The 12,230-nt window shown below is 37.0% G+C and overlaps 2 long non-coding RNA genes across 2 annotated transcripts in view; one reads left to right on the forward strand and one right to left on the reverse strand.

Moving 5' to 3' along the window:
* The window catches only part of TARID (TCF21 antisense RNA inducing promoter demethylation), a 386,755-nt gene that overhangs the window by 322,270 nt on the left and 52,255 nt on the right, over positions 1–12,230 (reverse strand). The gene's annotated exons all lie outside the window — the stretch shown is intronic.
* Positions 1–12,230, forward strand: part of LINC01312 (long intergenic non-protein coding RNA 1312) — a 32,846-nt gene that overhangs the window by 3,375 nt on the left and 17,241 nt on the right. The gene's annotated exons all lie outside the window — the stretch shown is intronic.

Raw genomic sequence — 12,230 nt, forward strand, 5'->3', positions numbered from 1 at the left:
TATTTCTTGCTGCCTATCTTCTGCCTGTCTCCTATAGTTGCCATCCACATCAGCTTTACTCCAGGAGCCAGAATTACAGAATAACCTTTATCTGGAAAATTACTGGATTTGTGGCAAAAGGAAAAATGACACACGAACCAAGTGCTGGCTCTTAAAGCTTCTGACCACTTCTATTGGTCAAGCAAGTCACATGGCTTCCCATTTTCCACAGGGCAGAGGTGTATTGTCCCCTCACGGGAAAGGAGCCTACATCTAGTGAAACTAAAATATTTGGTAAACAGTAAAACAGTCTACCACACTGGTCCCCCAGTTGCTCTGGCTAAAACTCTTGGCTCCTCTCCTGTTTTCAAATCAAATCCATCAATAGATCTACCACTTCTAGGTTTGAGCATCCTGGTCCATATGCCATGTACAGGTTTCTATCTGGTCTTCCTGTTTCTACCCTTTCCCCACTAGCCTATTCTCCAGATAGTGGACAAAAGTGAACATTTTATATATTTATTTATTTTAGTTATTAAAATGTGAGTTTAATTATCTTCTTTTGGAATTCTACAACATTATTTGATAATTTTTTTCAACTTTTATTTTAGAATCAGGGATATATGTGCAGGTCTAATCATACCTTTGTAACAAAGGTATGATCTGAGGTTTGGAGTACAAATGAATCCGTCATCCATGTACTGAGCATAGTAGACAATAAGTGGTTTTTCAGTTCTTGCCCCTCTTCTTCCCTCCTCCCACTTGTATTCCCCAGTATCTATTGTTCCCATCTTTAAGTCCATGAGTACCCAATATTTAGTTCCTACTTATAAGTGAGAACATGCAGTATTTAGTTTTCTGTTTCTGTGTTAGTTTGCTTAGGATAATGGTTTCCAGCTGCATCTGTGTTGCCACAAAGGATATGATTTAATTCTTTATGGCTGCATAGTATTCCATGGTGTATATGTACCACATTTTCTTTATTCAGTCCGCCATTGATGGCCACCTGGGTTGATTCCATGTCTTTTCTATTGTGAATACTGCTGCAATGAACATATGGGTGCACGTTTCGGTAGAACCTGTGGGTATATGTACTGTAATCAAATTGCTGGGCCCAATGGTAGTTCAACTCTTAGTTCTTTGAGAAATCTCCAAACTTCTCTCCACAGTGTCTCAACTAATTTACATTCCCACCACAGTGTATAAGTAAGTGTCAACGTGATCATTTTAAAACACAAGTCAGATTCTGTTGTGCTTCTTCTCAAAAGTGTCAAATGGCTCCCCCTCTCACTCAGGGTAAAAGCCAACATCTCTCCAACAACCTTGTAAATTCTGACATGATCCTTTCATCCATCACCTCCCTGACTCCATTGCTTCTTCTTCATCTCCAGTTCACTCTCTTCCAGCTATGCGGACTGCTCTGCTGTCCTCAAACAGACCAAGTACATTCCAGCCTCAGGACATTTGCACTTGTAATTTCCCCTTCCTGGAACGTACTTCTCCCAGATTTCCATATGGCACACCTCCAATCCTCTTCAGGTATTTGCTCAGATGCCACTTTTTCAGTTTGTCTGTATTTGTCAATCAATTTAAGATTTTACCCCCATCCCTCACCCTGAAACTCCCCCTTCTCTTTCTGTCTTAATTGTTTCCATAGCACTCATCCCTGTGCAATTTTCTGGTGTATTTTTTTTATTGTCTCTCTATTCCACTAGAATATAAACTCCTTGACTGTATGGACTTTTGTCCATTTTATTCATTATTGTAGCCCTAACATACTTTATCTGGATCAATTGACAATAAACATTTATTTAATGAATAAATTAGTGAATGATTCAAACTATAGAAAGCTTTGAAAAACTCAAACATAGAAAGATGTAACTTAAAGAAACAGAAGAAAATATAGTAAATATTAATAAATATTGTGCATTCACACAAACCCAAGAAGCTTGCTGGGTTATCTGTCCCAAACTAGAGAAAATGAAAAGAATCCGAGTGGGGAAATAACACTAAGGAAAAGCACTAAAAGTGTTACTTCTAAAACTATAATATTAATGACCAAGGCAAAACTCTAAAGTTCCCTGTTTCATTTATTACAAAATGCTTAATTTAAATTCCAATTTGAAAGTATATATATTTTAACTATTTATCTCTGCCAAAGCAAAAATGTAGTAGACTATCTCATAAATAGCTGTGCCACTCTAAGTGGTCAATCAAAATTTACTTCACTTCTGATTCCAGACTAAAAAGAAAGCCTTTTGGCTAGATTAATTATCTGCATCCTAGGCTGGTATTGTCTGAGAGCAGGGTTTCTCAACCTCAGCACTATTCACATTTGTGGGCTAAGTAATCCTTGTAGGAGGATACTCTTTGCATTATAGAATGTTGAACAGCATACCTGGCCTCTACCCACTAGATGCCAGTAGCACTTCCCCAGTTGTGACAACAAAAAATGTTTACAGACATTACCAAATATCTTCGGGGTGGAGGAGGGAAAGGGACATAATCATCTTTTCAGAACCACTGCCCTAGAGTATTACAATGCCCATCAAGGCAGCATTCCTGTATGGTTTCAGGTTGTGACCCATAAAATGCTCTGTGGGATTATTAGGAATTATTGCACCAAACTAGGCAAGCAGATTCTAAAAGTATGATTTGGGGAAATAATGAAAAGGTTCCCCTTGAAATAAAGCACTCCTGATTTTTTTTTCCTTAAAATTACTTTCTCTTGGAAGTGTAGAAAGATGTTGCCTGGAAGGCGTAACTTATTATTAAGGCATATTGGCCATTAATGCTTTAATGATGGCCTAGGAACAGAGCTCAAAACCAAGAGGAAAGACAAAAGAAGTTTTAACAGAGAGAATGAAAGAAAATTCTAGAACATGAGATGGAGGCTCTACAGTGGGTAATCTTATTTCACGAAATACATGAGGTTTCTGGACTCATGGTAAGAAGGAGAAGATTACTCTCTGAGGGAAAATTCTGCATGTCAACAATGTATTTAGAAATGGCTCTGCTAGTAACCTCAACTGAGGAAAAAATAAAACTGAAGTGATCAATTAAAACTAATATGATAGTTTTTAATCAATATAAATAACTAATTTTATTATTTTTATAGTCTGTACTAACATTCAAGTTTAAACGAATTGAAAATGAAATTATTCAAAACTAATAGGAACTCTGACATAAGTACATTAGTCAAATCTGAAATACTTTTGAAAACTTTTAAATGAACTCATCAAGTATCAAAACTTTTTTAAAATATCTTCTTAAGCCTTTTATATCTAAAAAAAACTTTTGTTTCCCTTTTCTGGCAACTGGTAAATTCTCAAACTTAATGTTAAAAAAAGAAATGAGTAAAATAACTGATTATGCCAGAGAGGAGCCCTTCCTCTGAGCAGAACAACCAGCAATGCTGGCTCAATTCTTCTTCTGGAAACCACAAATAAGAGTTACTAGACAGATATTTAAAGCATTTGAAGATTTTCAATAAATCAACTTTTAGCTCTTTATAAAGAAAGTATATTATCAACATCAGAGAAATGCAAATTAAAACCACAATGAGATACCATCTCACACCAGCAAGAATGATGATTATTAAGAAGACAAAAAATAACAGATGTTGGTGAGGATGCAGAGAAAAAGGAACTCTCATACACTGTTGGTGGGAATGTAAATTAATACAACCTCTGTGGAAAACAGTATGGAGGTTTCTCAAAGAACTCAAATAGAACTACGATTCAATCCAGCAATCCCACTACTGGGTATCTATCCAAAGGGAAATAAATCAATATATCAAAAAGATACCTGCACTCATATGTCTATTGCAGCACCATTCACAATGACAAAGATAGAGAATCAATCTAAGTGTCCATCAATGGATGAACAGATAAAGGAAATGTGGAATATATACACAATGGAATACTATTCAGCCATTTAAAAAAAGAATGAAATCATGTCCTCTGCAGCAACGTGGATGGAACTGGAGGTCATTACCTTAAGCTAAACACTCCAGGAGCAGAAACACAAATATCTCATGTTCTCACTCATAAGTGAGCGCTAAAAACAAAAAAAAAAATGTGTTAACATGGACATAGAGAGTAGAATGATAGATAATAGACACTTGGAAGGGTGAGGGGGTGTGAGGGAGGATGATTTGAAATTAGTTAATAGGCACAATGTACGTTATTTGGGTGATGAATACCCTAAAAGCCTGGACTTGACGGCTACACAATCTACGCATGTAACAAAATTGCATGTGTAGCCCATACATTTGTACAAATTACAAGAAAAAAAATATTATTAAATTAGTGATTCTGTATTTCTTTCTCTCCAATGAAGACATTCTAGCATTGAAATACGTATGGTTCCTATAATTTAAATCCATTTTTCAATTCTACATTGTAACTGGAAGAACTGGTGTAAATAAATCTAAATGCACACATCATTAGAAACTTTATTCCAGTTTCCAGAGTAATTTAAATCTTCTCAACTCCACCTGACTTTGTACTAGAGCTATATTCAGGGAGTAGAATTGATTTGTTTCATTTTTCTATCCTCATACTGAAAAAATACACAAATTAATTACAAGACCAAAAGTAAAAAGTTAACGACATTTTTTAAAACTTCATGTTATCTCTTGAGTCCACAAATTGGATAACTGTTCTCTAAAATTAAATACTAGTCACAATTATATGTACCTTAAAGTACTCTTAGACTAACATCTAAATAGAAATGTATAAGCCAAAAGAATATTTGCCTTCATCTGTTTTAAAAACTCTTAAAATATGCTTTTGTTTAATATATGCCACTTTGATATGTTTACTTTTTTTTTTCTTTGAAATGGAGTCTCGCTTTGTTACCCAGGCTGGAGTGCAGTGGTGCGATCTCACCTCACTGCAACCTCCACCTCCCAGGTTCAAGCAATTCAAGCGCCTCAGCCTCCCAAGTAGCTGGGTTTACAGGTGCATGCCACAATGCCCAGCTAATTTTTTGGTATTTTTGGTAGAGATGGGGCTTCACATGTTGGCCAGGCTGGTCTTAAACTCCTGGCCTCAAGCGATCTGCCAACCTTCGCCTCCCAAAGTGCTGGGATTACAGGCGTGAGCCACCGCACCCCAGCCTATGTTTACATTTTATACTATAGTTACAAATTAGTTTTAAAGGGAGAAAAAATATAGCTCATCCATCAGTAGAGTGAATTAAGGCTTTCAGTTTAAGAAGAAAACTATGAACACAGCCCAAGCTCTCAAGTATCCATTTACAGAGGATCTTCCATTTTTCTGCCAAAGCTGATTTTTTTTTTTTTTTTTTTGAGACGGAATCTTGCCCTGTCACCCAGGCTGGAGTACAGTGGAGCCATCTCGGCTCACTACAAGCTCTGCTTCCTGGGTTCACGCCATTCTCCTGCCTCAGCCTCCCGAGTAGCTGGGACTACAGGCACCCGCCACCACGCCCGGCTAACTTTTTATATTTTTAGTAGAGTTGGGGTTTCACTGTGTTAGCCAGGATGGTCTCGAACTCCTGACCTAATGATCTGCCTGCCTCGGCCTCCCAAAGTGCTGGGATTACAGGCGTGAGCCACTGTGCCCGGTCTCAAAGCTGATTTTTCTAGAAACTGTGTTAAGAAACAGAGCAAAAACAAACATGCAGCAGTTTCCTACCAAATGGCTTACAATGTGCATATTCTTGAGTGATTTTAAAAGTCTCAGCTTTTATTTAGTTGTATTTCCAACTGTTTAGTTAATCTTTATTGACTTGTGCATAACTCTCAGGAATAGGAATGTATCTGGGAATGGAGAGAAGTTTCCTGGTGCACTCAAATGAACTGTTTACTTCTTTTGCTAACTCTCACATCTGGTTAGGGATCTAGAAGTTTCTAAGGACCAAAAGAGTCACCTGGAATAGTGTGCCCAGGGGAATGGGTTACGTTGTTTGGGTATGTGTCGTATTTGAATCATAGAAAGAGCTTTCTTTGTTTTATTTTAGTTGATACTAGCCAGTTCTATTGCTTGTCGCTAGCATTAAAAACTAAGAGCCCTGAAAAAGGTACACAACATTCCGTAAGGGAGGAAGAATGAACCAGACCAGCCATGAGATGCGTGGCACAGTGCAAATACAAGTTAAGAGGATGCTGTGACTAGCTGAATACCAGAACCAGTAAGGCAAAGGTAGTTTGGTTGCATGGTGACAACATATTTAAACTCAAAACTCTTTAATCTGAATTAGCAATACTCACATCCTTGCCAAGCAAAAGCAAAGCATAAAACAAAAATAAACTTGTGCTGTGTTTCCTATCTCAGATAATATTACAAACTCAAGCCACTTTATCTCCAATTTCTAGCTCCCTAGACCTTCACGGCCATTAGTCAGCATGTGTTGTCTATCATACCTCAAAATGTTTATCAAGTAAATACTTTCCTCTCCATTTTCATTGTCACTGCCTTGTTTTCAGCTTTATCCTTTTTCCAGTCACATATCACGACAGTCTCCACCAAGCAACCTATACTCCTGCTTCAATAGACTATTTGCATGTACCAGAAGCACCAAGTATTCTCTGGCTGCTCTTTGAGATGACGCTGTGTTACCTCTATTCATCCTTCAAGATCACCCACACCCCTTAATTCTAGAAGAATTAGCCCTTGTCTTTTTAGCATCCTCCTAGTCCTATATTGTCATAGCATTACCACGTGCATTACAATTAAAAGACGATAATTTGTATCTCTCCTAATACAAAATGACTTCTATTGAGGGCAGGACTTGTCTTATGCAACTTTCTATATTTAGCCCCTTTAACAAAGCTCAGCACCTGATTTTAAAAAATCAATAATTCGTTTAGTTTAAATAATCAACTGACCACAGAACAATTGATTAACCAATAAAGCACTTAAAATTAGCAATTTGAGGTAAATCTATTCATTGATAACTTACATAAGATTTAGTTTGGTTTCAATGTTTTTCACAATCTTTATCCATGCTTTATGATGCCCTCATAAGTATCAATTCATGTTAGAAGAAATCAAGGAAGAAATTACAGTAAAATCTTCATTCTTATCATGTGTGCTTGATAAACCACCACGTTCCTCATCTTAAACAGCAGGTAGTTCCTGGGGTCATGGACCTTACACCATCTCAGCATTCAAATGAGTGTTATTCAAAAAAAAAAAAAAACACAACTTCACACAACATTTGGACAATGTCAGAAAGAAAAATTGATACTAAGAAAACAATAAATTCACTTCCTAAATGTTGAACCTGCTCTTAATTTTATATTAACTTTTATTTCACCAAATAGAAGAGTTTTTCATATGCCATATACATTTATATTTTCATCAAGAATAAGAAGCATCATTTGGCTAGAACTGTAATTACATTTTCTTTTCCTCAACATGATAAAAGTGTTGAAGTAGTTTTCCTAAGTGCTGTATAAAACCAGTTAAGAAACCAGTTTCCCACCCGCTTTAGACTTTAAATGATGAGCAGCCAATATGAAGTTCCAAATACATACAAAAATTATTTAAGAATTTACAGAGTAAACAGACAACCTACAGAATGGGAGAAAATTTTTGCAAACTATGCATCTGATATCCATCATCTATAAGGAACTTAAAGGTCTAATATCCAGCATCTATAAGGAACTTAAACAAATTTACAAGAGGTAATAAATAAACAACCTCATTAAAAAGTGGGCAAAGGACATGAACAGATGCTTCTCAAAAAAAGACACATGTGGCCAACAATCATATGAAAAAAAAGCTCAGCATCACTGATTATTAGAGAAATGCAAATCAAAACCACAATGAGATACCATCTAACACCAGTCAAAATGGCTATTATCAAAATGTCAAAAAATAACAGATGCTGGCAAGGTGGTAGAGAAAAAGGAATGCTTAGACACTTTTAGTGGGAGTGTAAATTAGTTCAATCATTGTGGAAGATGGCGTGGTGATTTCTCAAAGACCTAAAGGACAGAAAGATCATCCAACCCAGCAATCCCCTTACTGGATATATACACAAAGGAATATAAATCATTCTATTATAAAGACACGTGGACGCCTATGTTCATTGCAGCACTAGTCACAGTAGCAGAGACATGGAATCAACCTAAATGCCCATCAGTGATAGACTGGATAAGGAAAATGTGGTACTTATATACCATGGAATACTATGCAGCCATAAAAAAATGAGATCATGTCCTTTGAAGGAACATGGATGGAGCTGGAGGCCACTATCCTTAACAAACTATCACAGGAACAGAAAACCAAATACCGTATGTTCTCGCTTTTAAGTGGAAGCTAAATGATGAGAACACATGGACACGTAGAGGGGAACAACACACACTGGAGCCTATTGATGGTGGAGGGTGGAAGGAGGGAGAGGATCAGGAAAAATAACTAATGGGTACTAGGCTTAATACCCGGGTGATGAAATAACCTGTACAACAAACCCCCATGACACATGTTTACCTATGTAACCAACCTGCACATGTACCCCTGAACTTAAAAAAAAATTATAATGTCTGTAAATAATAGTAATATTTAACATTTAATACTATTTTATTATGAATGTCCTTTAGTTAATTATTTTTGGCCTCATTTTACAAATGAGGAAAAATAAGGAAAATAAAAGCTAAATAATGCGGGCACTGTTACACAACTAGAAGGTGGCAGAGCCTGGATTGAAATGCAGCTATGAATTCCAGAGTCCATGCATCTAATTGCAAAGTTTTGTAAGGTAAGTGTGGGAAAAGGGTAAGAAAGAGGAGGGAAGAGATGCTACCAAGCAGCTTAACCAAATAGTATTATTTAGTAACAACATGTGTTCTCTTTCAGTGTTTTTGTTCTTTCTATATTTAAACACTCCAGTGTAGTATACGTATATGGGTGTGTATATATACATATATATATAGATATATATATACATATATATATACATATATATAGATATATATATAGATATATATATACATATATATATAGATATATATATAGATATATATACATATATATATAGATATATATATAGATATATATATACATATATATATAGATATATATATAGATATGCACACATTTATTTTACTCTGAACTATCTAGGATGTTTTTTCTAGAAAGGAGAAATATACAAATATACAAAATGTACAAATACATTTTGAAGAGGAAAACAGTTTTAAAAGACTTTTAAGTATTCTAGAAATCTTAGAAATGACAAGTTTAGATATCATGAGATTAAAGAGAAATAACCGTGATTTTTTAAAAATGATCCTGGGAATGAAAGAGGTGGGTCTTCAATACACTAACATTTAAATTCTCAGCTTCAGGAGAAATTGAGTTTTCATTCATGCTCTGAACCCTCTTCCCTTGGCAATGAAGCCTCAGCATCCCTTTGCTTCTCCTGTGCCCTCAAGTGAGAACTGAGTTATGGCTGGCTGTCTCAGGAAGAAAATAACTATTACAAGACATAAGATGGGCTGGGGTGGGGGAGGGCTAAGGAAAGGCCTGCCATTTAGCTTGTAAAGTGCAGCAGCTGTGGCCTGTTTTCACTAATATCTGACATGTTTCTTTGGCCACTCGCCAAATTGAGCTGTACCCAACACTTCTCCCATCCTTCCTGTGCCTCCAGGATCCTTTGTAAATGCTACTTGAGACTCCAGTCTACTCCAAATCAATCCCCTTGGTTCCTTCCTCCCCTTAATGCACAGGCATCCCACCCTAATTAATTAACCCAACACCAGCTTCATCCAGGACCTTCCCACACTTTGCCCCTTCACGCAGCCCAGAAACATCAGCACATTCCTGACTTCATCACTTGTCAACTCCCTTTCTGTTAAAGACCAGTGTCCCCTTTCGCTGACCTGGCCTCTGATTTGATCTCACTTTAAAGTATCCCACTTTAAGAGACAGTAACAAATGCTGCCTTTTTCCTGTTTGGTTTGTTTATTCATGTTCACTCAGTCTATTATAATTAAAGACCAAGGGAATTCTAAGAAGAGCCCAGGAAGATGGTTTATGCATTTGATATGTGGATAAATCCAATACTGGATTTGTAACAAAGTTCACTTCACCTATTGCTAACTGTGTGAACTTGGGTGAGTTTCCTAAGCTCTTGTCATTCATTCAAATACTTATTGAGTGCCTGTTACTATGCCACGTTCTATTGTAAATGCTGATGCTGCAATTTAAACAGGGAAGCAAAAATACCTGCCCTCTGTGATGTTTATATCTTAAAGAGGAAAAGTAACTGTTAATAAATAGGTGGATTTAAAAATATAGACATTTAAGAAAAAATATAAGGAATGAGAGAAGAAGAATAGGGAGTGTCAAGATTAGGAGTAGAAAGGAAGGTAGCAACTTGGAATAGACCAGTCCCTAACTTCCTGATGCGATGTTTCACCAGGCCTGAGGTCATGCAGATAGCTGAGAAAAAAAAGCATTCCCAAAAGAGGAAACAGCAAGTGCAAAAGCCCTGAGACAGAAGAGTGTTGCCTGGCTTGTTGGGCAAAGAGACAGCTATGGCTGGCAGAGAACAAGAAAGCAGCAGCAGTTGATGTCAGAGTAACAGGGAGCTAGAACTCAGAGGGCCTTGTACATGATAATAAAGAGTGTGGATTTTACTTTGATAGAAATGGGAACTCACTAAAGGATACTGAATAAGAGTAACATGATTGGATTTACCTCTAAAGAATCTCAACTAACTCCTCTGTAAGAGTGTAGAATGTATAATAACAAGAGTGGCGAAGACTAGCCTGCCTGCTCAAATCCCAGTGCCACCACTTACTACCAGTGTGACTTTAAGCTAATTGTTTAACCTTCCTAAGCTTTGATTTTCTCATTTTTTCCTTTTTTTTTTCTTTTTTACAGAGGTAATCAAAAGTGTTCTCATTTTTAAGGTGGAATTGATAGTAGTTCCTCTTTTGTAAGGTTAAGAAAAAATAAATCAAATAGTGCATACTGAGGTGTTTAGCGCAGTGGATACCACCTAGAAAGCCTGACACACGCTGATATTATCAGGCTGGTGAGAATCAAGTTCTATAATGTATGTGCGGTATTTGCTTGTGTTGTCCAGCATAGTGGCATAGTGAGCACTTACATGTCATCTACTATCAGTTACTAGCATTACCAACTACTAACCCACTGGCTGTTTTAAAGTAATTTTGTACCTTTAAAAATTTTATAATATACCACCTTAAAAGAATCAGAATAGCAAAAGTTCACAGATAATTTTCAGATGTCTCTGAACCTTCTTATTCAAAGTACTCTGCAAAGCACTAGAAAGGCATATGTACTTGGGTAAAAGAGTAAACACACACTGTCTCTCTCTTTCTGTTTTATCATATATATAAAATAAAACAGAGATATACATAATTATCTATATATTAAACATATATATCTTTATGTATATATCTTCCCCTTTAAAAATTACTGATATATATAGAGAGAGAATTTTATAGATAATTTTTAAAGAAGGGGAAATTATCTATATATAGATAATATTTTAAAGAAGAGGAAAGAGTTAGTTAAGACAAGTTTCTGTGTGTTGCTGACCCCTGTTGGGTGGAAAAATTAAAATTGGTCTTCTGAAAGAAAGAAAAGTGAATTCTCAACTCCCTGTACATGATCCTGACCGGGAACCTACTCTCATCCATTTCACTGATTCCACGTGTATGGCCATGGATGGGGACATTGGAGGCCTACTGGTTCTTCGAAGCCCTACTGGTTCTTCGAAGACCTGCTTCATTACCCAAATGTTATGCAGCTCATACCTCATTTCTTTCCTGAGACCTAGACTACCTTAAACTGAGAGGGAGGATCTCATCTTTCTTTCCCTTGCCCACCATACTCACACACACAGACATACTGACATACTCCCAAAACAAACACATGTCCCCCAAGCTTAAGTCTCTTAGGAAACAACCACATATCCTAATCTGGTCTTGATAGTCAGCTCACGAGAACAAAGGAGAGGAAGATTAATGTAGAAACCTGCACTAAAGGCTGAGTACAGTGGCTCAGGCCTGTAATCCCAACACTTTAGGAGGCCAAGGCAGGTGGGTCACCTGAGGTCAGGAGTTCTAGACCAGCCTGGCTAACATGGCGAAACCCATCTCTACTAAAAATACAAAAGTTAGGTGGGTGTGGTGGCGGATGCCTGTAATCCCAGCCACTCGGGAGGCTGAGACAGGAGAATCGCTTGAACCCGGGAGGTGGAGGTTGCAGTGGGACGAGATTGCACCACTGTACTCCAGCCTGGGC

Source organism: Homo sapiens, chromosome 6 (assembly GCF_000001405.40).
Source record: "Homo sapiens chromosome 6, GRCh38.p14 Primary Assembly".
NCBI classification, from domain to species: Eukaryota; Metazoa; Chordata; class Mammalia; order Primates; family Hominidae; genus Homo; species Homo sapiens.